The sequence below is a fragment of the Homo sapiens genome, chromosome 5 (assembly GCF_000001405.40).
Source record: "Homo sapiens chromosome 5, GRCh38.p14 Primary Assembly".
Classification (NCBI taxonomy): domain Eukaryota; kingdom Metazoa; phylum Chordata; class Mammalia; order Primates; family Hominidae; genus Homo; species Homo sapiens.
The window spans coordinates 169829742-169856831 of record NC_000005.10 but is presented as its reverse complement, the minus strand read 5'-3'; the positions used below and the strand labels follow the sequence as shown (position 1 = coordinate 169856831).

The 27090-nt window shown below is 42.1% G+C and overlaps 1 protein-coding gene across 8 annotated transcripts in view, besides 2 other annotated features; it reads right to left on the bottom strand.

The window, feature by feature from the left end:
• The window catches only part of DOCK2 (dedicator of cytokinesis 2), a 446108-nt gene that overhangs the window by 226551 nt on the left and 192467 nt on the right, over window positions 1-27090 (bottom strand). For 6 of the 8 annotated variants that reach the window (NR_156756.1, NM_004946.3, XM_011534449.3 and 3 more), the window contains exon 27: window positions 15980-16075. Coding sequence is in view for 7 of the 8 variants with exons in the window: in NM_004946.3 (NP_004937.1) it covers window positions 15980-16075 (96 nt within the window). In the remaining variant the exon portion in view is untranslated. Of the gene's footprint in view, window positions 1-5164; window positions 9163-15246; window positions 15432-15979; window positions 16076-27090 lie in introns of those variants that run through there. The other 2 variants (XM_011534448.3, XM_005265830.5) reach the window with 2 other exon arrangements.
• Window positions 18048-18117: an enhancer, noted in NCBI's record as "active region_23603". NCBI's record gives its function as "activates an Ori minimal core promoter by ATAC-STARR-seq in GM12878 lymphoblastoid cells {active_cell/tissue: GM12878}" and the evidence as "EXISTENCE:reporter gene assay evidence [ECO:0000049][PMID:35858748]".
• Window positions 21891-22060: an enhancer, noted in NCBI's record as "active region_23602". NCBI's record gives its function as "activates an Ori minimal core promoter by ATAC-STARR-seq in GM12878 lymphoblastoid cells {active_cell/tissue: GM12878}" and the evidence as "EXISTENCE:reporter gene assay evidence [ECO:0000049][PMID:35858748]".

Here is a 27090-nt window from a genome sequence, read left to right as displayed (position 1 = left end):
CTATGATACCCTGGTTATGCTGACAGAAAAGCCTTCTTGCTCATGAACCAAGTGCTGAGTCATGTTAACTGCTGAACTTGAGAGTGATTCACACAGTGTTTCCACTGAGCACACCAAGCCCGATGAAATTCAATTCTACAAACAGAAATCACGGATGGGTGATGGAGGTGATGAGAAGTTACTTGCTGGTGTCATTGTCTTTGGTGTGCTTTTTTGTTTTAAAATAAAAAACAATATACCTTCAGTAGCTGAGAGTCAGGGATCAAAGGGAACAAAATCAAAGCAACACAAAACATCAGCACTCATAAACTCAGGCTGCTGACCTGGAGTGGGTTTCAAGGATTGAAGCTCTACCTCATCTCCACTAATATGCACCCCTCAGCTCCAAAAATCTCAGATGAACCTCAGTCTGTATTCACTTTTTTCAGTAAACAGTCATCAAGCCCCTTATCTCTGCCAGGTGAGGTGCCAAGGACACTGAGCGGAAAATGCAGTGCAGACACTACCCTAGTACCAAAGAGCTCAGGGGCTGGTGGGCAGCTTCTGACAATAAGCAGGTGTCTTTTTCTGATTCACCCCACCTGAATGTCACATTGCCTCCTTTTGAACCCATCCAAATGCTATTCTTGTATTCTGATATGGTTAGGTTTTGTGTCCCCACCCAAATCTCATCTTGAGTTGTAATCCCCAGATGTTGACAGAGAGACCTGGTGAGAGGTGATTGGATCATGGGGCCAGTTTTCCCCAGGCTGTTCTCATGATAGCAAGTGAGATCTCATGAGATCTGATGGTTTTATAAGAGGCTCTTCCCCCTTCGCTCCTCACTGCTCTCTCTCTCCTGCTGCCATGTGAAGAAGGTCCTTGCTTTCCCTTTGCCTTCTGCCATGATTGTAAGTTTCCTGAGGCCTCCCCAGCCACATGGAACTGTGAGTAAATTAAACCTCTTTTCTTTATAAATTAGCCAGTCTCAGGTATGTCTTTATCACAGTGTTAAAACAGACCAATACATATTCTCTTGTGGCTCTTTCTCATTACCTTCCCCTTTTCCCACCATACGTTAAACTCCAAGAGTAGGAGCAGCTTTCCTCATCTTGTAATGTCCAAATCCAGGAAGTGTTGTTTAGTTTAATTGAAAGACTTCACCATTGGGATCCTTGGTCTCTTCCATGTAGACCCCTGCACTGTTCTTCAACATCTATGTTCTCTTACCATTTTCCACCCCCTCACAGCTGCCTGGGGCCTCTCTCTAAGACACACATCTAGCAATGTCATTCCCTGGTTTTTATATCTCTAGTTGCATCCCACTACCATCCTAGAGCATAAAAATTCCTTCCCCTACAAATAAGTCTCCTTATAATCTAACGCCACTCTAGCGCTTATAGCCTAACTTCCTACTGGTCTACTTCCCCCAACCCCATCTCCTTGCCACTTTCCAAAAAGTCAGAGGCTGCTACATATCAGTAACTTTGCAAATTCTGTTTTCCCTACCAGGGACACTATTCCATTACCTATCTACCACAGGAAATAATTTTAATTTAGAGGAAAGAAAAGGAGAGTCGCATTATTACTACTGATAGTGATAATAAAAACTCTAGTTTCTTGAAGTTACAATGAGCTGTTACTAAAGGCTTTGCCTGCATTATCTCATTTATTCTTCAAAAAAATTACCACAAGGTAGTTTATGATTACCCCCATTTTCCAGAAGAGCAAATGGAGGCTTAGGGGGAGATAAGTAATCTGTCAGAGTACACAGGTAGGAGGTGGTGAAGGCTGGAGTTCTTTGAGGGTCTGCCAAGCTTGGGAGCCTGGGCTCCTAACTCCGATGCCAGACAGTAAGTTGCAATTTAAATGTCACCTCCTCTCTATAACTTTTTCTGGTCATCCCCCGTTGCTACCATGGAATTAGTCACTCCATCCTCCAAGTACCCAGAGCACATTGTGCAGGCTGCCACTTTTCATATTATATTGACATTTCTTTTGTCAATCTCTCATGCTCATCTCCACCAGAAAGAAAATTCTGGGGGGACACAATTGTCATTTCCATCTCTGGGACTCTCCAAGGGCTTCTCAAATTGCCTGAGATGCTGTAAATGCTTTGTATATGTTTATTGAATGAATTGGGAGAATATATGATAATGGAGACATTTCAAGGAAAAGCAGTCCAGGGGAAGAGAGACAGACCAGGACAGGCTGGGGGTCCTGACTTCTGCCCCTGACTTTCTGCATAATTTTGAATAATATCTTCACCTCCACACATCACCTCTATCATTAAAATGAAACCCTGTGCCTCTCTGGCTTTACAGACTGTTCAGAAGAAAAGTGAAATTATATACATGAAAGTGTTACAGGGCTGGGCATGGTGGCTCACACCTGTAATCCCAGAACTTGGGAGGCTGAGGCAGGCAGATTACTTGAGGTCAGGAGTTCAAGGCCAGCCTGGCCAATGTGGTGAAACCCCGTCTCTACTAAAATACAAAAATTAGTAGGGCATGGTGGTGGGTACCTGTAATCCCACTTACTAAGGAGGCTGAGGCTCAAGAATCCCTTGAACCTGGGAGGTGGAGGTTGCAGTGAACTGAGATCATGCCACTGCACTCCAGCCTGGGCAACACAGTGAGACTTTGTCTCAAAAAAAAAAAAAAATGTTTCAGTAAGTTTGACTGTCCCCTTAATTCCTATTTTTAAAGAAATAGTGTCAAAGTTGTTTTTGGCTGGGTGCAGTGGCTCACACCTGTAATCCCAGCACTTTGGGAGGCCGAGGTGGGCGGATCACGAGGTCAGGAGATTGAGACCATGGTGAAACCCCATCTCTACTAATAACACAAAAAATTAGCCCAGCATGGTGGTGGGCGCCTGTAGTCCCAGCTACTCGGGAGGCTGAGGCAGGAGAATGGTGTGAACCCGGGAGGCAGAGCTTGCAGTGAGCCGAGATTGCACCACTGCACTCCAGCCTGGGTGACAGAATGAGACTCTGTCTACCACAAAAAAAAAAAAAAAAAAAAAAAAAAAAAAAAAAAAAAAAAAAAAGTTGTTTTTCCTGATTATAGAAGGAAAGTGAAATTGTTTTAAAAGTAAAACTCCAGAAATATGCAAGTCATGTTCCCTTTAAGCAGAAGATGCTAACACAATGTGAGCCTTAGAACATGTTCTGAGCTCTGGGAGATCGAAGCCCTCTGGTGAGGGGCCATATTTCTTTCCCCTCCTTGAACTTCAGTTTCCTTGATGACTTTATTGTTATTATTGTTGTTGTCGTTGCTGCTTCATTCCTGCAACCCTCTCTCTACATAGAATTCACAGAATAGTCTTGTGTTGTTAAAAATCATCATAAATATCATTTAATGGCTACACAAATGCATCACTGCATGAATGTAACATAAATCTGGAAAAATGGGTTTTGATTTTGAAGGATCATTTGACAGAATTGATTCCTTTGAGTCACTTAAAGCCAGTGCCCTGGACGGGGGCGATGGGCCTGAGATTTGTGAGAAAGCCTATTTCATTAGCAGTTGTTCCAACAGGATTTTCCCAGGGGCAGTGGATTAGTCCATTTTCCTGCTGCTAAGAAACACATACCTGAGACTGGACAATGTACAAAACAAAGAGGCCTATTGGACTTACAGTTCCACTTGGCTGGGGAGTCCTCCCAATCATGGTGGAAGATAAAAGGCACATCTCACATGGTGGCAGACAAAAGAGCACTTGTGCAGGGAAACTCCCCTTTTTAAAGCCATCAGATCTCATGAGACTTATTCACTACCATGAAAACAGCATGGAAAAGACCTGCCTGGCTGATTCAATTACCTCCTACCAGGTCCCTCCCACAACACATGGGAATTCAAGATGAGATTTGGGTGGGGACACAGCCAAACCATATCAGGAATTGTCAGACCCTCAACAACACCCCCAGGGAAGGACACTCATGATAGGATTTCTCCTTCCAATGTGTGTTCCAGGCCTTCACAGCAGACACAGTGTGCCTTATTGTATTTCACAGAGGCTTTCTTCACAGCCCAGCCATAGCAACAGCTGAACATTACTTCACAAATGCAGGAAAGATTGAAAGGCAGGCCTGTAAAATAATTTGTAATCTTATTCCTGACACTTGTGTCAAAGCAGGGAGAGGAGCCCACAAGAGGAATAATAATGGCTATTATTAACCAAGGGCCTACTATGTGTTAAGCCTTGTGAAGTGAGCTTCAAACATGTTTTTATTCAGTCTTCACCACAAGCTTGGCAGGTAATGACCATTACTAGCCCCACTTTACAGAGAAGCAAAATGGGGATCTGCACTGTGAAGAGACTTTCTAGCTGTGGAATGAGGAGACCTCCTCCCTTCTTGAGGAAAGGAGGACACTGGCTCCCAGCCTGTCAACTCCTTTCAAACCACATAGCTTGTCCCCAGTTCCACAGCACTTGGAAAGCAATGTCAGGGATGGAGGTACTCAGCCAACGCCCAAATGGCAGATACGCTGTTTCTCAAGTTCTCCAAGGACAAGAAAAAGCTGGCCCCTCTTCCACTGCCAGGAAATAGGACAAGAGATACAGTGGAGTCTTACCTTTAAGAACACGCTTAAAATTACTTGTCTCAAATCAGATTTGTCCAGCTCCACTAACAGAAGCTGAAAGGCACCGAGATATTTGGAGGTAATTTCATTAGGATTTGATGATGGACCAGTCATTCTTCTGTGTGACTGCATTTCCCAGCTCTTGCTGAACAATTTCCAAACTCTATTTCTCTCTCTTTCCCTCTCTCTCTCTGTGCTGACAGCTGCAGTCCCTATGTGGCCAATGAAGGCCCCAGCTTTGGCACCAGCTTCCCCAGGGCCTGAATTTACCTACTCTGCAGAAACACGAGGCATGGTGATATGGTTTTGCTGTGTCCCCACCCAAATCTCATCTCGAATTGTAATCCCCATAATCCCCATGTGTTGAGGGAGGGACCTGGTGGGAGGTGATTGGATCATGGGGGTAGTTTTCCCCAGGCTGTTCTCATGCTAGTGAGTGACTTCTCATGAGATCTGATGGTTTTATAAAGGGGCTCTTCCCCCTTCTCTCTCTCCCTCTCTCCTGCCACCGTGTAAAACCTCCCTGCTTCCCCTTCCACCATGATTGTAAGTTTCCTAAGCTCTCCCCAGCCATGAGAAACTGTGAGTCAATTAAATCTCTTTCCTTTATAAATTACTCAATCTTGGGCAGTTCTTTATAGCAGTGTGAAAACAGACTAATACACATATGTACTGAGTCAAGTGAAACTTTCATGGCAACAGCAGCAGCAGCAACAGCAATGGCAGCAGTGACATCATCATCATTATCTAGGAGCACTCCCTACCCATAGCAAAGGTCTGCTCCATTGGACACAGCAGGGAGAATGCAGTAGCTATCTTAACAAATCAAGGAACCTCATATTCCCTCTTAATTCTCATTTCTGCAGCAGCTAATCATGGGATGGAAGAAAGATTTGGAGAATGAAGCATGCTCTTTTATGCTCCAGCTGTCATATTTTAGTTTGCCTGAAAAAATTCTGTCACCCAGAGCTAGTAAGGTATTTGGGAATTTTATATTTTAAAAAATCTTTACAGGAAAGATTGGCATGAAACAAAACTTTATTCACATTATTTTTTAAATTGAACTTTGTAAAGCTTGTCATTAATTTGTTCCTTCAATTAGTTTGTTCTTTCCATTAATTTACTGCCATAGCTTGAATTGAGTGCCTGCTACACACCACGGATGGAAGGATGAATGGAAAGATAAAAGGAAGTGGTCCCTTCCCACATGGGTCTCACTTTACTGTGGAGCACAGATAGGTAAAGAGAAAATTCCAATACATGTGGTAATGTTGTAACTGAAACAAGGACAACGAACAACCGGAAAGATGGCCTAGCAGAATGACGAGAGTTTCGCAGACTGCAAGAAGGCATAGGGCAAGAAATGCTCCTCCCACTTAAAATGCACCAAGCCTTCCTCTCCAGCCATTAAAGTTTTTCGTGGCATTCAAGACCCAGTTCCAGTTCCGTGAAGTCTACCTTGATAAATGACTTCCGTCCAGACATGCTACAGGTCCTTTGAAAATTGAGATATGAATCTATGTTTTGTATATATATTTTAGGCCTAGTATGCCCTGATATGTGTTCACCAAAGTCCTTATTAAGGCAATGCTTCCGCCTCCAGAAAACTTGCACACCATCCATATTACCATATTAAGCTGCAACCAAGCTACCCCAAGCTCACAATGCCACCTTTTGGCTACAAACTGTCATTTCAAGTCTCTTGTCTAATTTTTTTTACTATTTTCTTTCTTAACTTGATTCTTTCCCTGATCTCCCCTTAACACACATACACATACACACAAACAGGTACACATATATATGACACAAACATACCCTTGCACATACACTTTCAGGAATTTTCTCAATTAAATTAATTTTACCTCAGGAAAACAAGTTCCTAGACACATACAGTGAGCTGCTTAAGAAGATGGGCTTTGAGCCCTGGCAGACTCGGATGGGATACAAATCCTAGCTTCCTCCTTCCCAGGCTTGCAATGCTGGGAAGGCGTTCAAGCTCTCTAATGGCCATTTCCTCTTTGAGATGAGACAGTAATTATTGCCAACCTCACTGACTAAATTAGAGAATGCCCTTAAAGTGCTTGGTACCATCTTGGTCACATAAACGGTCCATAAATGTGAACTGTTAATACCGACAGTGCATTCTGTGGAGGGGATGCTTCCGCTCCCCACCCCCAGTCTTGTCTTCCACTCAATCCAGTTATTCTGCAACAACCCTTACTCTCGGCATCTAATCATGACATAAAGCTAACAGTAATAACACTTGCATATTGAGAAAAAGAATGATGGTTTGTGTGGAAATAAAAGTAGACAGTAAACATCTTTCATTCATTTAGCAGGTGTTCATTGACACTGTCCTGCAGGCCAAGGACAACCGTAAGAGGTGGTTGTGGCTAGACTCAGGCTAGCGATCTCAATGGGAAGGAAGCATTTAGAGTTGAAAGGTCTTTAGGGACCAAGATGAACCGTGCCTGGAGATGAGCTAAAGGCAGAAGGAGAAGGAGAAGGACACTTTGCCTCCAGAACCCTTTGCAAACTCCATGCCAGCCTTGTCCTCTTCTGTTAAGCCTGCTATTTCATAAGTACCAACACTCACATAAAGAAAAAGTTCTCTTTCTAAGTTTAGAGTTTTTGTGGTTTAATTACCAGAATTTAGGAGATCAATCCTAAACATATCATTGTCATCATAAAACCACCAAAAATTCTGTGCCATTTTATGTTTCTGAAAGTTGCCACATAGGTGATCTCATTAGATTCCATGATCTAGGCAAGGCGGCAACTGAGTTCAAAGTGCTCAATTATTATCCTTAAAATGTTTGATTCCTAAAGACTAACCTTAGTTATTCATCGCTTAGGAGTGTACAATACACTATTTAAGGGCAGCGACTCCAAAACAGTACTCCCTGGGTTCAGATCCTAGTTCTTCCACTAACAAGCTGTGTGGTTATGGGCCAGTTGCATGACCTCCCTGTGTCTCAGTTATCTCAGTAAAATATGAGCACCTGATGCAGGTGAAGTAAGGTAAAACACACCAGGTGCTTAGCTATTTGCCTAGCATACAGGGTGCCTGTGCCATTAAATGATAGCTTTATTATAAATATTACTTTTCAACAAGGTACAGGGGTGCTGAGTGAAGGCCAAGAGCCAACTAACCACTCCTGGCTGAGAACCACACCTCCTCGTATCCTAGACTGTCCTCCCTCCTGCTTGCCACGGACTGGGGTTGGGAGGAGTTGCTACTGTCCTGCTGCAGTCCTTGACTCAGTCTCTGGGCTCATGGTCTGGCTCAGAGTAGTTGCTTAGATGGGTCATTTCCAATTTGGTGTCCCAGGAGTGAAAAGTGAAGTCAGAGCTTTGAAGCCCAGTCTCTGATGACACAGATGCCTCCTGGAGTCTCCAGCACTATTATGAGGTGAAGCAGCAGAGGAAAAGGTGACTTCCAATTTCCTTCTTTTTTCTTTTTGAACAAACTGCTCTGAATTTCTGGAGCTGCTATGATGCCAAGCATTTACCTTTACTTAATCACTCAATAGCCTCCTCTGTGAAAACCGGGGTAATTAGGCCCAAAATATATCACCCAGAGGCTTATTTTAACTACCCAAAATAAAGGCTAGATCCCAATTTCAACAAAATCACCAGATTGTTTTCCTTCCAAGAACTTCTGGCAGTGTTCAAGTTCCCTGGTTGATTCTCCCTATGGGATTGTTCATCCCCATCACTGGGGTGGCAGGAGACGGGACAGCCCTCTCTAGAGCAGTCAGTAACAGGATGCATCAGCCAGGGAGGGTTCTTGAGGCACACCCTCACCACGCACAAACAAGCCTGGACATTTTTCCTCAAGCTGCTCCAAGACCTGTGAGACAGGACAATATCTTCCTGGAAGGGAGCACAGATGACTGGAGACATACGCACTCTGGTGTCCCTGGTTCACATCCTGCTTATTCCTACCAGCAGTGTAACTTTAGGCATGATGCTTTCATCCTCTGCTGCTCAATCTGTTCCCCCAAACAACAGGAGATAGCAATATTGCCTACCTGTGTGTGAGGGCTCAAGGTGCAATCCATTACACAGTAGGCATTTTGAGTCAAACTTTTCAAAAAATATATTTTAACCTCTCTGAAGATTACAATCTGTGTCACATTATAATTGGCAGCAAGTTTTCTTTCTTATGGGCACATAAAATCATGGAGTATCTTAAATTTGATAAAATACGGCATGTAGCCTGAGGAAATTGTTCCCCAGGAAAGGCAGGCTCTCCAAGACGGTTTTTTCCATTACTCTTCTGCTTTTATACCACAGCTTTTTTAAAGGAAGCAAGAATATGTGCAAGAGAATCTTGTTTATACAAGAGTTTTTGGACTGGGCCAGAAAAACACCAACGGTTGCAGTAAATACATAATATTTGCAAGTATCTTGCATACATCACTGTTCTCCAATCTCATGCCATGACAGACAGCACTAATCAATTCCCAAGTTCTTCCCACTGAGCCAATGTGTAGCTTCTGCATCCTCCTCAACACAGTTCTACAGGCAGCCATCCCCAATCAGCCAGGGCTGGCACTTGAGCAAAATCTATTTTAGGTCTCTGATTCAGGAGCTTGGGAGATAGAAAAAGAGAATAGGAATTGTCAGCCAAGTCAGGAAACTCAGATATAAGAAGAAGATTTCAAATATGGTATAGTTTATTGCATTAAAAAAACAAGGTCTAGAGAGATTAAATTGGCATAAAGTCACTAGCCAATTATCTGCAGAAAGAATGTAGAATTTTTTTCCTGTTCTCCCAGATAAGGGAGAATATTCTATCTAAATTATCAACATCACTAATCATCAGGAAAATGCAAATTAAAACCACAATAAGATACCACCTTACTCCTGCAAGAATGGCCATTATTAAAAAGTTAAAAAACAATCGATGTTGGCATGAATGTTGGGAAAAGAGAACATTTATACACTGCTGGTGGGAATGCAAATTAGTACAATCTCTGTGGCAAACAGTATAGGAATTCCTTACAGAGCCAAAAGTAGATCTACCATTCAATCTAGCAATCTCAATACTGGGTATCTACCCAAAGGGAAAGAAGTCATTATGTGAAAAAGACACTCGCACATGTATGTTTATAGCAGCACAAATCGCAATTGCCAACATGTGGAACCAACCTAAGTGCCCATCAGCTAATGAGTAGATAATGTGGGATATATGCACCATGGAACACTACTCAGCCATTAAAAGGAATGAAATAATGTCTTTTGCCACAACTTGGATGGAGCTGGAGGCCATTATTCTAAGTGAAGTAACACAGGAGTGGAAAACCAAAAACAGCATGTTCTTACTTATAAGTGGGAGCTAAGCCATGAGTATGCAAAGGCATACAGAGTAACGTAATGGACCTTGGAGACTCAGAAGGGGGAGGGTGGAAGGGGGGCTAGGAATAAAAAAACAACATATTAGGTACAATGCACACTACTCATGTGATGGGTGCACTAAAATCTCAGAATTCACCACTATATAATTCATCCATGTAACAAAAAACCACTTGTACTCCAAACGTATTGAAATAAAAGCATATATCTGTATGTATATATATGTGTGTGTGTATATATATATATGTGTGTGTATATATGTACATATATGTGTGTATATATGTGTGTGTGTGTGTATATGTGTGTGTATATATATATATACACTTTCTATCAAACCATGCTCCCTTTCTCACCACAAAAGCTAAATTCCTTAGGACTTAAGTAAACAAGAAGTTACCTGACAAATTAGACTGTGGCAAAGAGAGGATGAAAGGGTACTAGTCATGTAAAAGTCATTTGCTTTTTATTTTTGCAAAATTCCCTTTTGCTCATTTGTCACCAACAATTCATTGCTCAGGGAATTGATCTATAGAAAAATCAGGAATGGTCATCGCAAAGCCCTAAGCCCAACAAGAAATCCATCCTAGCCCCATGGTTCCTGTGATTTTAGTGGCTAAAACCTTTTACTGCAATGTTCCTATCCCTGAAAAGAAGAAAAAAACTGTCACTAATCCCGTATAAGAATGAGAGTTGCAACCAGCCATCCTATACCCACTTGGGGCCCTCCTGGGATTTCAAAAGTACTTGACATTTATGGTGTTTACCACAAATATTGATTAATATTCCCAAGCAATGGAAACTAACCAAAAAAATCACATCTGGAAAATTAAAAGTGACAGGTGGAATGGGGATCTCTCCTCCTTGTCAAATTTCAATTCAAAATTAGATTGGGGCCTTCAGTGCTAAGACAGGGACCCTTGACCCCTGAGTAACTACTTTCCAACATCATTTTCTTTAATTTGGAGGAGATATTTCTATTCTAGGAATTGCTGGAAAGGCTCATTTTATGAAAATGAAACTATATCTTAAGAAAACCCTGTTTGTTGCTTCCTTCTATTTCAGGTACATTTCTGCTCCTAGTGAAGTATGCTTGCCGCAGGCCTCTGGCTCTCCCCTCTCAGCACTCTTAGCATTGTAATTACACTAGCAAACTCCAAAGTCATTGAGACTAATGACACAGCTTGCAACTTACAACCTTTGCAAGGCTTCAGGGATGAGCCAGAAAGTCTGAACAGGCAATTCCTTACTCCCTGAAATGTGGATTCCCACATTTAGAAAACACATTTGTTGAATAAGGAAGAGCAATCTGAGGGGAAAGCACATTCAAGAATATGAAGGTAAGAAATGACAGCATTTTCAGGGATTATTTCACTTATTCACTCACTTCATTTCATTAGTGCCTTCATTTGCTCAACAAACTTGGGTACCCACTGCACGCCAGGCACCCTGCTGGGTGTTGAGGATAAAAGAGTAAAACAGGGTGCCTGACCTCGGGGGGTCCACTAAATGTGGGGAGAGCCTACAAATAGAGAATTGCCTTACAATGTCATAAGCACAATGGGCACAGTGACCTAAGTATGCACAGGGCCTCGGAGAACACAGGGCAAGGGACAGAGGCAGGGTAGCTTGTCCAGCCCAAGTGGGGAGGGAGTGGGGACAGGTGGGCCAAAAGCAGCAGGACTTGGTGGGTGAATGGAAGTGGCAGGCAGGTGACAGAGAGGGAGGGGCAAGGGCAGCTTGAGATCTAGGATGGCAGTCCCATAAACTGAGATCCCGAATTCAGGTGGAGTGTGGAGTGGGCTTCAGGGACCTGGCAATGAGTTGAGTTTGGGGTGCAGTGCATTTGAGATTCCTGAGAGACATCACATCAGAAGAGGTCTGATTTTCTCCAGGGCACAGACCATGCCTAACTCATTTCTGAGTCTTTGTGCTGAGTATCTAAGAGGTTCTCATAAACTGCTAAAGGAATAAATAAATGAATACAGTGCATAAGAAGCACATGTACAAATGCTTATCCTGTATTATACGATTTAATTCACACAGGATCTCTATGAGGAAGATCTATTATTACTCCATTTATTTCACAAATAGGCACAAGCCTTAAACTCTTACAGTCTAAGAGAGGAGCTGTGACAAGTTCATAGATAAAAATGACTCAAAAAAAAAAAAGAGGCAGAGCACATGAAAATGTGATCAATATCATTCATCATTGGGGAAAGGAAAATTAAAACCACAGTGAAATACCACTAGGACAGTTATAATCCAAAGGGCTGACAATAATAAGACTTGGTGGGGATGTGGGTAAACAAAACCTCAAACATTGCTGGGGGGAATGTGAAGTGGTACAGCCACGTAGTGTGATGGGTCACCCACCGGGTTACTTAGGAGTGCATGTCCGCTGCTTGTCTTTAAAGGCTGGGCGGTGAGCCAAGGCCAAGGTGCCCAGCTTAGAAGCAGGTGTCCCTGATAACCTGAACATCCCAGAGGGTAGCTGAGAATCTACCAAGGAAAACAGCCCCATCACGCACACACAGTAGGCAAAGCACCAGAAAATTAGCTTAAAAGCAGCTTAGGGATGGGAGGTTGTGCTGATCTCTAAAGCTGTCCTGCCAGCATCCAGGAGTACTTCGTATGTAAGTCATAATAAACTCATCTACTGGTCAAGCTGGACTCATCCAAGTCATTGTTTAATCTCTTTGCTCCCTCCTAGTTTCAGGGAATGCTTTTAAAAATATATAATTCCAGGTTTTTCTCATTATGGCTACTATGGAAAATAGTTTGGCAGTTTCTTCTAAAGTTAAACATACAGTTCCCATATGCCCCAGCAATTCCACTCCTAGATTTCTACCCAAGAGAAGTCAAAACACATTCATACAACACTTGTTTGTGAATGTTCAAAGCAGTATTATTTATAATAGTCAAATGTTAAAAACAATCCAAATATCCATCCACTAGTGACTGGATAAACAAAAGTTGGCATGCTCATATAATGCACTATTATTCAGCAATGAAAAGAAATGAAGTACTGATATATCCTAAAATATGGACAAACCTCAAAAACATTATGCTAAGGAAAGAAGACAGACACAAATGACCTTGAATTGTATGATTTCATTTATATAAAATTTTCCAGAAAAGGTAATCTATGGAGATGAAAAGTAGATTAATGGTTGCTTAGGGTTGGTGAGAGGAGGGAAAGAAAGTGACTGCAAATGGAACTTTGGAGAGTAAAAGAAATACTCTAAACTGAATTACGGTGATGGTTGCATAACTATAAATTTTCTAAAACTCGTCAAACTGAACACTTTCAATGGTTAAATTTTAAAGTGTATAAACTATACTTCAATAAAACTGTTTTTATTTATTTGTTTATTTGTTTATTTTGAGACGGAGTCTCACTCTATCACCCAGGCTGGAGTGCAGTGGCGCGATCTTGGTTCACTGCAACCTCTGCCTCCCGGGTTCATGCCATTCTCCTGCCTCAGCCTCCCGAGTAGCTGGGACTACAGGCACCTGCCACCACACCTGGCTAATTTTTTGTATTTTAGTAGAGACGGGGTTTCACCGTGTTAGCCAGGAAAAACTGCTTTTAAAAAAAAGGTAAAGAGAGCTTGGTGATTTAGAAGAGGGAGCGGTCACAGCTAGAGCAGCTTCGTACATTTGTGCTGGACCTGGAAAACTAGGTAGGATTTCAACATGTTGAAAGGTACAAGAAGGAATTTCAGGCAAAGAAAGAGGCAGAGGCTAAGCCTGCATGTAAGACAGTGCCAGCATGTTTGGGCAATATCCAGACATCCATTTTGGCTGGATATTTGGATGGAAAAAAGTTGATGAAAAGACTGAAAAATGTGGTTGTGACCAGATCAGATCACAGAAGCTGAAAATGATTGGGCTAATGCATTTATGACTTCATTTGGTAGGCAGCAGGGAGCTACTGACCATTCCAGAGTAGGGGAGTGTCCTGGTAAAGATTGATGGGGCAACAGTGAGGGATGTGTGTTAGAAGAGCCAGCCACAAAAGCCATCAAACAAAAGGCTCATAGGACTGGCAGTACTGAGTAGTTACTTGCCTATGTTGATAATGCAAAAGACAGAGAGCCTCACTCTACCAGATAGAAAGCAAAATAATAATATACAGCACTTATTTAGTGCTTCTTATGACACAGGCCCCATTTAAAAGAATCACTGTTCTACAGGAAAGGGAGTTAAAAGCCTGCTACGTACAGAATGAGCCAAATGGACTGATGATCATCTTTAGGTTTACTCTAAAGAGAAGGAATAAAGATAAAGGAGGTTATAAAATGCTTCACTTGAGGTCAGGAGTTCAAGACCAGCCTGGTCAACATGTAGTAAAACCCTGCCTCTACTAAAAATACAAAAATTAGCTGGGCATGGTGGCACACGCTGGTAGTCCCAGCTACTTGGGAAGCTGAGGCCAGACAATCACTTGAACCCAGGAGGTGGAGGTTGCAGTGAGCCGAGATCACACCACTGTACTCCAGCCTGGGCGACAGAGTGAGACTCTGTCTCTCAAACAAAACAAAACAAAAAAGAAAAATGTGATACTTCAAAGGTGGAAGGATGGTAAGTAAGACAAATGACAAAGACCAGTTTACATGGCTCTCTGGCCCAAAAAAGCAAGAGTATCTGGCACCACTGATGCTCTCCACGGATGTCACCACTGTGTAAAGCAGGAATGTCAGGGTGGCTTTCTGAAGGGAATCCAGCTGTTTGGGAGTCACAAAGTGTTTATAAACATTATTTTTTAAAATAAACTGCCAACACTGAAATATCAGAAAATTTCATACAAAACATGGAAATTTTCAGTTTCTCTTGAAATATTGGGAATCCTAGCAACTATATGGTCCAATCCCACATGGTATCAATCAGTCAAGGCTGAGTAGCCCTCATCCTTTTTTAAACATTAGAGTCCCTGCCTGGCACATGTCATGCATTTATTCATTCAAACGTATTTACTGAGCACCTGCTATATGCCAAGTGCTGTTATACGACCTAGAGACACAGCAATGACAAAACAGAAAAACATGCTTACTTTCCTGGAGCTCATATTCTCATGAGGATAGCTAGACAATAACCAAATAAGATAATGTATATTTCCGATTATACGTAATTAGAAAAATAAAGAAGTAAGGTATGACTTTTAGTGGATGGAGAGGTACTGGGAATTGTAGACAGGGTGATCAGAGAAGGCAAGCCTCTATGCTTAGGTGATATCAGACTCAAAAAAAGGGAAACAGCACATCTATCATGTTTTATATGTGGGAGGAACACATAAATAAATAAGCATGGGGCAAAGGCATTTCAGGCCTGGCAATGTTTGGATTTTATTCTGAGTGAGATGGACAACCATTGGCAGGTTTCAGCAGAGGAGTGACATGGTTGGGCATACTCATTTATGTTGGTGACTGGCCCCTGAAAGCATTTGAATTTTGGGTCCTTGGTTTAAAGCACGATGGGCAGAGGTTAAAGGGTTCGAGCTGGGTTCTGTGTCGGGAGAAGAAAAATAATCAGATGACGGGGCAGAAATTTCCTGATCTTCAGAACATACTGTTTATGCAGAAGAATAGCTCAATATGTAGTAATGACCTTGAATAACCAGCATCTATGGGCAGAATTAACACGCAATGAAGCCCCTTAGGAAACCAAGCTCACAGGACCCTGAGACTGGGCACCATGTGACTGTAGGCCAGAGGAAAAGGTTCCTAGTGGACATGCATCTGGAATGTTCCACCTTGTTTACTTACAAAAGCTGCTCTCCCTTCTCTGTCTTCAGCAGTGATAGTCCACCCTTGCTGGTATGCTCAATTTAGCGCTGGTACACTCAACTAGACAAGTCCTAAGCCCTGTTTTATTTCAACAACTTGAGTTAATTCTCAAGTCCTCCCAACTCAGACAGGAAAAATCTGGTCACCCTACTCCAAAACAAAGCAATGATCAATGCTGGGAGTTCAATGTGATCTGCCTTTTCAGAAAATCCATTTTTAGATGCTGAAGAGCTTGCAACATTTGACAAGAAGAAATAATCCACTCACAATCAGAATGTGATCCCGGCCCATGGTGATGACTGTCCGGTTCACTGTCCGCAGCAGCTGGACCATGATCTCCTGGATATGGTGGTAGGTGAAGGCCTGTAAAACAGTCAGAGACATCTATGTGACAACCAGGACACTGCATCTGAACAATTGTACAAAGGACACAGACAACAGTGGTCAGACATGGTGATCTTCAACACCATCACCAACACCACCACCACTACTGCCATCATCATCATCATCATCATCATCATCATCATCATCATCGCCATATCTCCATCGTCATTACCACCTACACTGGGCATAAAAAATTCCACTAGTCACCTGAAATATAAGTTAAGATGGCTTAACTTAGGCTTTGGAATCAGGAACTTTGGAGCTAGAATACTAGCTCTGACAATAATTAGTACTGCATTGGTTAAGTTATTATATGGTTTGGATCTGTGTCCCCGGCGAAATCTCAGGTCAAATCATAATCCCCAGTGTTGGAGGTGGGGCCTCGTAGAAGGCAATTGGATCATGGGAGTGGATTCTCATGGTTTAACACCATCTCCCTTGGTGCTGTCATCACGATAGTGAGTTCTCATGAGATCTGTTTGTTTAAAAGTGTGTGGCAACTTCTCCCCTCTTTCTCTTCCTCCAGCTCTGGCTACGTGAAGACGCCTGCTCGTGCCTTGCCTTCTACCGTGAGTAAAAGTGTCCCGAGGCCTCCCCAGAAGCCTAGCAGATGCCAGCATCACACTTCCTGTACAGCCTGTGGAATCAGGAACCAATTAAACCTTTTTTCTTTAAAAATTACCCAGTCTCAGGTATTTCTTTATAGCAGCGCAAGAACAGACCAATACAGTTATATTAACTTTTCTAATCCTTGGTTTCTTCATCTAATAGTCAGGATCTGAGCTGGAATAAGGAGGAAATTTAATGCAGGGAATTGGTTATACAGGTAACGGAAATGCCAACACACCAAACAAGGTAACCTAGAGTCAGCCACAGCAGGAAGCCACTGTCACTTGGAGGCTGGAGGGACAAATTGAGGAGGCAGTGTTTCTGGAGCCCCGGGACTAGGGTTATATAATGGAAACTAGGGTTACATAATGGTAACCACATGGTGCTTGTATAATAGAAGCCACATTACCCACCTTGGGTGGAAATTTACAGTGAGTCAGGTTGTAACAGGTATTGGGTTCTGGCTACTTTAAATACAGGTCCCTAAACTTTCTGTAGGATTTGCCGATCCTTTTTGAGCTTTTGTTGTAGTCGGCAAGGGTTTCAAGCATATTCATCTATATCTTGGAGCATTTTACCAGCATAGCATTTAGGCACAGAGTTGCACACCATGCATACGCGAGGGTGGCCATGGCCAAGTGGAAAGGCCTAGGAATCTTAACTTCAGAAGCTCTGGGTCTGAAGTTCAATGCTGTATTTGCCAGGTGTGCAACCTCACTTATCACTTCTCTGAGCCTCAATTCTCTCATCTACAAAAATGTAGAAGGTTCTCTCAAGGTCGATGTGGACCTAAAAATGACATGTGCAATTCTGGAAGAACTTACATGCCTGGGTCCTCTGCTGGAGATTTTGTAGTCTGAAACAGAGCCTGAGCGTCAGCAATTTCTGAATTTTAGGTGTGTTATTCTGATGGCTAAGAACCATGATGTGACATGCTGTTTAGCTCTGGAGATGGGGGTTTGGGAACAGCCTTGTGTCTCCAGAACCTAGCCAGAGCCTGACACAAAGAAAGTGCTAAATCGATAGTGGCTGAAAACGTGGATGACCACCCATGCTCATTTACAAGTACTCCAGCAAGCTTTACCGCATTAAACTTAAGTGTGGTTTTGTCACTTAATGTAAGGAATTGCAGGGAGTTGGTTATACAGTGAGAGAGAAGTAGATTTGCAGTTGGGGTAGGGCCAGAAAAAGAAAGAAGATGTGCTTACTAAAAAATGTCCTCCCCCTGCCCCAATGACTTTCAGTGGCTTTTGGCATCCGGAGATGAATAACCCAGAGCTTTCTTTCTCTGCCTTAGACTCACTTATTTGTTACTTTGGCTACTCCCAGACTCTCTAGCCCTGTGGAGCCACCAACAGAACCTCTGCCACTGGAGCTTTTGTTAGAGCATTTATTTTACAGAAACAAGTTCCCCTGCTTCATCAAGCGCAGCCAGACTTCAGTCTCTGCTGGAGACTTGCTGGTCTCTCCCCACCAACCAGCCCTTTCTACTCCTGACACTCAAGGCCAGGGAAGACAGATCTCCCCATATTTCTGGCCCAAAGATGAACCTCTCTCCTGATTTCCTTCTCCTTTATTTCTCCAAGCCATTTTGCTGACTTACAGTCTCCTATTTCTTGTACTACGTGAACATGATGTTCATGGTTATAGCAACAACCACAGCTGACAGTCTTTAGTGCTTCCTAAATGCCCGGTACTCTGCTAAGCACTTTATATCGTCTCACATCAAGACGAGCAACATTACTCTCTCCATTGTTCAGATGAAGAAACTGAAGCCAGAGTGGTTAAGTAATTCATCCAGGGTCACCCAGTGAGGAAGGGAGAAAGGATTCAACCCAGCAGCCTGTCTCCAGAGTATTCTCCTTATCCAAACTCACCCATGCAGACTGGAACACGATCAGAGATTTCTGGTGGCTGCTTGGGGGGTTTCATCATCCACCTTCCATCTGTCAAGATGGATAGACCCTGCCTTCAATTGGACCAACTTCTACCTCCTTCAGTGACTTTTGATCTTTTCTCTGCCTTTTATAAAATCTTCAATGCTATGTATTCCCCCTCCCTTATATTTTCTGCATTCCTTTGCAATTTCATCAAATTTATATAATGGTTTTCATTTTGATGCTATTTTTTTTCCAGGATTACATCTCTTCCCTTGTGAATAGAGATATTAAAACCCACTTTCTTGACCTCCTGCCCCTTGCTTCTTTTAAATAGCCATTTCTTCTTGTTCCAAAGAGCAGCAATTAGACTGCTCAGGAAGTTTGGTATTTAAAAGTAGAAAACTGTCAAATTCAATTCATTTCACTCTGAAAGCTCCCAGTATTGGGAGGTTGCATAGCAGAGTGTTTTGAGATTAGAGATACTTGAGTTTGAATCCCAATTCTGCTCATTTGAGCTGGGTGACCTTGGGCAAATTGCTTTTCCTCTCTGAGTTTCTGTTTCTTTGTTTATAAAATGTGGCAAATAATAGTAACCTCAAAGTTACTGGTTTGAGGAATAAACAAGGTAATGCAGGTAAAGTCTTTGATACTGGGGGTTGGTATATAGTAAGCCCTCAGTAAGTGGTGGCTGCAACTCACGTTCCCCTTGGTTTGCATCAGCTCTCTGGTTGGGCTTGCAGATTGCCAGCACGTAGCAGAAAGTGCAGTACAAGGCAATGCATAATCTAAACTCTGGGTGATATCTAAATGTCACCCAAAGAATGTATAGCATATATGCAAATGGAAAACTTTCAAGATGATAAACCTGTGCTAAGCAGTAAAAGTGCAGCCACAAATCACCCACTGTTAATTGCTCCAGTGCCAGGCAAGTGGAGGGAGACTCTAGGAAAGTGACTTCTGGGCTCAAACTAAACGGTAGCTTGTAATTGAAATGACAAAATCAGTCTTCCCATTATGGCCTTGGCAAAGAAATTAATCCATCCAACCTAAACACACTGCAAATTGTAGTGATTTTTTTTTCTTTTAATAATTATAGGCTCTGGTATCTGGAAGGGACTTCAAATGAAGTCTTATGCAGAGCTCACTACATAACACAGCAGAAGGTGAGCTGGGAGTGGATGGGGACTAGGCAGGGTCGGGGCTAAGGGAGCCAAGCCCTCTCTTCCTGACTCACTCTTGACCCTAGGCCACTCCTAGGACTTTTCAGAATGCAGTGCAAAACTACTGATCTCCTGTAGGGTTTCTAGAATAAGAAAGCACACCAAATATGAGAATATTTTAAGTAACAATAGACAAAGCATTTCATAACACTAAACCAAATTATATAAAAAATGTGGCCTTTTTTTTTCATTTTTCTTTCAACACTTTTCATGATACCAAGTAGAGAAATCTCGTTTTGGTGATTATATGTCTTTAATACCTCTCTAGTTCTTGTAAAAACACCTTTTCTAACAAAGAGGAAAATCTTCAGGTCAGAGCAGGCAGCAAACAGTATCTACTTAGAACTTAATGACATTGTTTTGTTTTTATTGTGTTTATTTTTTGAAGTTGGTCATATTTATGGCAAGTGTGCAAGAAAAAGCTCCAAAACTTGGAAATAAAGCAAAATGAGGATGGCATGACATTTTTAATAGAACATTTGGAAAAACCACACGGAAGGTCCTTTTACCCTCTCAGGAATATAACTTTGTTTGGATTAACCATCCACAACTGATTAGAAACTAGAAATGTTATAACCTTGCAGAGTTAGTAGTTAACTTGCAGAAAAATGATAAAATGTGATGTTTGCTGCTTTGTTAAAACTCATAGTTTTATTACTCTGGAGAAAATTTACCTGTTTTATACCTAATGATAATTTTATACAAGTATCTCTTCTCTCACAAAATATCAAGAAGCCTGAATACTTTTGAACCAGGTTGTTGTTGTTCAGCTTGTTCCCTGGTTTACCAGTTAAATGAAACTTTGATGTGCTCAGTGTCTAATTGCATAGGATAATATTTTTAATAATTTGAGAAATCTACTTTTACACAAATGATGCTACTTACAGTTTTGATATGAAATTTTATTTTTATCAAAGTTATAAGTGTATATAGTTCAAAAAATTCTTCAAGCTTCATTTAAAAACAAAACAAGCTGGGCACAGTGGCTCATGCCTATAACCCCAGCACTTTGGGAGACCCAGGCGGGAAGATTGCATGAGCCCATGAGTTCAAGATCAGCCTGGGCAACAGGGCGAAATCCCATCTCTACTAAAAATATCAAAAATTAGCCTGGCATGGTGGTGCACACTTGTAGTCCCAGCTATCGGGGAGGCTGAGGCAGGCTTGAGCCCAGAAAGTTGAGGTTGCAGTGAGCTGTGATTATACCACTGCACTCCAGCCTGGGCAACAGGGAGTGAGACCCTGTCTCAAAAAAGAAAAAAAAAAATCCAAACCCCCAAACAAACGAAATACAGCAGTCTCTCATGATCCCCTTGCCAGAGGAACTTTTGTACCTCTTTAAGCTGTTGTAATTGTTATTTTGGCATTTATGAACATGATGCCAATAATATGCTTTGGTACTTCTTTTTTAAACATTTCTTTTCACTTTTGGCATTGTCTATTAACTGTCCACCATAGAAAACAAGCATTTTGGCCAGGCCCGCTGACTCATGCCTGTAATCCCAGCACTTTGGGAGGCTGAGGCGGGCAGATCATCTGAGCTCAGGAGTTCGAGACCAGCCTGGCCAACATGGTGAAACCCCGTCTCTACTAAAAATATAAAAATTAGCCAGGCATGATGGCGCATGCCTGTAGTCCCAGCTACTTGGAAGGCTGAGGCAGGAGAATAGGTAGATCCCAGGAGGCAGAGGTTGCAGTGAGTCGAGATTGCACTATTGCACTCCAGCCTAGGCAACAGAGCAGTCTCAAAAAAAAAAAAAAAAAAACCAGGCATTTCACTCTTTCCTCCCACTGTCCCATGAGGCACATGCATCCTTCCCATTTCTCCTCCCTCCCATACACTTACGGTATAATTTTGCTTTGATCAATATTTATTACTTAAAATATTTTGAATATGCAAATGCCATTCTCATCCAAGTTGTAAACTATGATGGATTCCCATTTCTTGCACACTCCTCATTTCATGCCACCCCCCCACCAAAAAAAAAGCAATTTGGAAAAATCCAAGATTCCTTTTCATTCTCTGAATGTTTAGTTTTTTTAAGTACTATCTCCCAATTTACAATGGTCTCTTCTGCTATTTTTCTAAGTTCTCTCTGCCTCTTTTCTAAAGTTTGCTTTGCCTCACAGAGTCTGTGTCCTCCAAGTAGATTTGCTTCTGTTTGCTTGTTTTCACTCTCTCTTCTATGTGAGCATTGTTCCTTAGTTCTCTTTAATCCTTGGGGCTATGTTCTCATTTCATTGTGTGTGATGCTAAGGTGATCACCGACTGAGCATGTGAGTAGGGCTTGTGGTCTGTGAGCTTATTGCAGGGTGATCTGGTTGGGACATTTAGCTGGAGAGCACTGACTGAACATGTGAGTAGGACTTGTGGTCTGTGAGCTTACTACAGGGTGATCTGGTTGGGACATTTAGCTGGAGAGCACTGACTGAGCATGTGAGTAGGGCTTGTGGTCTGTGAGCTTACTGCAGGGTGACCTGGTTGGGACATTTAGCTGGAGAGCACTGACTGAGCATGTGAGTAGGACTTGTGGTCTGTGAGCTTACTACAGGGTGATCTGGTTGGGACATTTAGCTGGAGAGCACTGACTGAGCATGTGAGTAGGGCTTGTGGTCTGTGAGCTTACTGCAGGGTGACCTGGTTGGGACATTTAGCTGGAGAGCACTGACTGAGCATGTGAGTAGGACTTGTGGTCTGTGAGCTTACTACAGGGTGATCTGGTTGGGACATTTAGCTGGAGAGCACTGACTGAGCATGTGAGTAGGACTTGTGGTCTGTGAGCTTACTGCAGGGTGACCTGGTTGGGACATTTAGCTGGAGAGCACTGACTGAGCATGTGAGTAGGGCTTGTGGTCTGTGAGCTTACTGCAGGGTGACCTGGTTGGGACATTTAGCTGGAGAGCACTGACTGAGCATGTGAGTAGGACTTGTGGTCTGTGAGCTTATTGCAGGGTGATCTGGTTGGGACATTTAGCTGGAGAGCACTGACTGAGCATGTGAGTAGGGCTTGTGGTCTGTGAGCTTACTGCAGGGTGACCTGGTTGGGACATTTAGCTGGAGAGCACTGACTGAGCATGTGAGTAGGGCTTGTGGCCTGTGAGCTTACTGCAGGGTAATCTGGTTGGGACATTTAGTTGGAGAGATGCCAATATCAATATATGCAAGTCTTTCTTCTTGGACTGCTAGGATTTCACAAATAAGAATTGTCTGATCCCTGCATGATGTGTGAAGGCCTGGCCACCAGTGCGCTAGGAGATGAACGGGAGGAAAGTGCTGGAGGTTTTAGCCTCCAGGATGCACACTTTGATTGAAACCTGCTTTTGAGTAAGGTATCACTGCCCACACTTTCGTCTGGCATCTCCTAGGCCAGATGTCTTCTGTTTTTTTCTTCTTTATTGAATACACCTTCAATAACTCAGCCCCATGGAGTCAGACTGCTTCTGGAACAGGCTCTCAGCTGATCCTCCTTATTTGAGCTCCTTCCTTTCCTTCACCCTGACTTGCAGGGGCACCTGGTACTACCATTTCCGGAAACTTTGTTTTAGATTGGATGAGTCCTCAGGGTCCTCCACTGCTGGCTTATGAAATACTTTTCTCAGGTCTGCTATGTCATGTACTAACTTTCCGTATGATTCCTACCTTTCTTTCAAAGAAATTCTATTTTTTCAGGAGGTTTTCAAGAGGGAGGAAAAATATGTACCTATTTTAATTTACCATCTTTACAGGGAATTCTGCCCTAAACTTTTCATGTTTGAATATTTAGAAGTGAGGTGATTTTGTTAAATATATTAAACATATACCTGATAGTGATACACTTTTAAAAATATGATTGTGTCATGTAAATGTCTAAGGTTTCAAAAATAGTGACAGTGCAATCCATTTTACAGAAAGAAAAACTTCAGCTTTAGGATGGGGTTTGCACAAGGTAATATGACCAGTGTTGTGTGACAGGAAATGTCATCAGAGCTAGAATGAAGGACCTATTCTGCTGAACATTGAGGGGGCCACTGCTTCCTCCAGTCCAGCACACAGGCAGCCTTGGCCCTGTGTTTATGCCAAGGACAATCTCACCTCCTCTGCCTGCTTTGTCTTTAGGCCTTTTCAGTGCTAAGATGAAGATCACAAGGTCACAGCTACAGAGTGAAATCCAAAGGCCTACATTTTTTTTTTAAGCAAAAGAGAAAGAATGTATATTCTTACAGTGAAAACAGCAGCAATCTATGGCTGCTACTGTTTTGTCCATTCTGTGTTCTATGGAAGAGGTCTTTTCCATTTCTTTCTTATCTTGAAACTACCACAAACACCTAGAAAGAAAATATCTAACTTTGAAAAATAGTAACAGATATCATCTACAGTACAGTCACCCTCTCTCTCTCTGGCCCTTAGAGGGAATGTGATTTTTGCATGAGTTCTAGGTTTAGTGCTGTCTTCTTTCTTCCTGTTTGAACTGGTTTCCATCCTGAAAGATTTTACTGCATTGACATCTCATTGCGTGAAGCAAGCTTCAGAGGCAGCCAGGGACAGAGACAGCTCAGCGAAGGGGAGGCAGGGTAAACAAGGCAGGGTGGGTGGCACTGCTCTATCCCATCATCTCTGCTTCTCCCCACCCACTGGGTGAGTGTCCCCACCCCATGTGCCAGGCGGGACTTGGGCAATGCTTTCATGTTGTCACACATGTCTTGCACTTTGTATTAGCCTTCACTAGAAGACAAGGGTTGGAGTTGGTGGCAGAAGGATGCAATAAAAAGGAAAAGAAGATGTGGGTTCTAATTCTGACACTGCTGTTAACACAAGTTTCAAGGTCTTATTATATGCCAGCAACTGTGCATATAGACTTGACATAATCTCATTTAACTGTTTATAAAACTCCACTGAAATCCCAGATACACAACACACGAATTAGAGAGATTTAGTAACTTGCCCAAGAATGTTCCATTCACAGATGGCCCAACCTGAACCTAAGCTCATTTCTGCCTAATTGCATGCTCCTTCCATGATCAGAAGTGTGGTGTCGATGGCACAACGGAATGGTGCTTTAGGCCCTCTCCAACTTCTCTGGCAACTTCTTTCAATATTATGAAAAACTCTCTGCAAAAGTCTCTCCTTGCACAGAGACTAATGAAGTTGCCATTAACTATTCTCTTTCCTTGTTGGTCATTGACCTTGACACATCTTGCCCCTCTGAGCCTCAAGTTTCTTCATCTGTATTTTGGATGCATTGGCATCCACAATATCAGAATTGTTTTGAGGAACCATAGCTAATTCCAACACTGAGAGCTAATATCTTTTGAGTTTTTAATATGTGGCATGTACTTTTCTAAGTATTTTACAGACATTAACTTAAGGAATCCTGCAAGCACATATAAAATGGGAGAAAGACTTCTACAATTCCAGATTTAGAGATGAGTGAAGTGCTTGGCTGTGGTCTGCTAATCCAAGTTCCAGCCCAGGCCTGCCTGACTCAAGTCCAGGCTTGTGACTGCCTCTGCCTCCACCTCTTTGGATCACATAAATGAATGGATGTGGCAGCACTTTGCAGATGGTAAATCATTCTGTAAATCTGTCCAAAGAACATCATAAGACAAACAGTTGTGTGCACAGCTGCTTGTAGCATATTGCATTGTTTATAATACCTAAACGCAGCAAGCAAGATAAATGTGGTCAAATCAGGAATCCTATTATGTACATGACAGTTTATTCACACAATGGAGGAGAAGGTAGATAGATCTTGACCTGGAAAAATATCCTAAATATGTTCAGAAAAAAAGAGACTACAGAGTACCATATGTAATATACACCTTTTTTTTTTGAAAATTTATTTTCTATGTCCAGAAAGTCTGGAAAAAATGCATGGCAAACCATTAACAATGATATCACTGAGTGGGAGGGAGGAGGGACAGATGTGAGGTTAAAGGGATAATTTTATTTGCTATGTTTTGTTGGAAATGTTCATAATCACATATGTAACAATGAAAATAGAACTCTTTCTCCATTGGAAAGAAATGAAAGTCAGGCTGCAATCCTAAAGAATCATGTCCACAGGGGACTGAGTGGATACATCCCAGGGATGTACACCCAGGAAGCCCTGTGTTCAGGGGTGTCAGGCTACTGTGGGAATGGCTCTCCTTCTTCCCCACACCCAGCAGGTCTCCCGTCCCATGCTGGGGCTATAGATGTAACCTTGGGGCTCGCAAGCTGGATCACTGTTGCCAACATTACTAAATGGACAGAAAAGCACTGCAAAGTAACATGGGCTAACATTCTTTTAAAAGGCACAACTATGAAACCAGCTAAATAAGCAAAACATTGTTTTTATTTAGATCTGTAAGTTGCTTTGCAAGGGTTTTTATTAAAATGTAGTGAAACCTCCAACCTGCAGGCCAGAGCAGAAAAAATTAAGCCTCCTAAAGTCTGCATGTTCAATATCTTAATGCCAATGAATAAAGGCTGGTTGGAGACACTTATGAAGATGTGCCTCAGATAGGCTCCACTTTAGTATTTTGTTCTTCAAAACAGGAAAAATTTATGAGGTGCAAAAAAATAGATAAAAAACAAAACTAAATTTGTTGAATTCTTACTATGTGCTGGGCAATGGGCTGTGTGCTTTGTGTTCAATATCTCAATGAGTCTTGACAAGAACCCCGGGGATAAGTATTACCCCATTTTAAGATACAAAATAAGATTCATTCTAATGATTATTATCATTCAATATTTATTGAGCACTTAATATATGCCAGCCATTATGATAAGTGCTTTACATGAGCCACCTCATTTAATTCACAGAATAACCTTATAGATCTGCTACGCTGGTTCTTCCCATGTTACAAATGAGGAAATCTAAAGCTTTATGCAACTTGTCCAGAGCCACAGAACTGTAGGCAATGGAGCTGGATCTGCTCCCATGTCTTTTTGGTTGCAAGGTTCTTGCACTGTGTGCAGCTATTTATAGCAATATTGTATTACGTATAATACCCAAATGTAACAAGCAAGATAAATATCCCCACATCAGGGATCCTATTATATAAATGATGGCTTATCCACACAATAGAATAGGAGATAGCAGATATGTCTTGCCCAAGGGACCTGCATCTCCAGTCTACTTTCCAGGAAGAACAGGGTCATCTGCTTTTAGATCTTAAATTATACCACTCAATCTCCTTTCTTGGAGCTCTTTAGACAAAAAAGCAGGCTCTAAACAAGGTGACTTTTGAAGGCCCCATTTCATATCATGTGTCAAAGATATTAAAAAGAAAAAACCTCCCCAAATAAATACAACGTAAATAC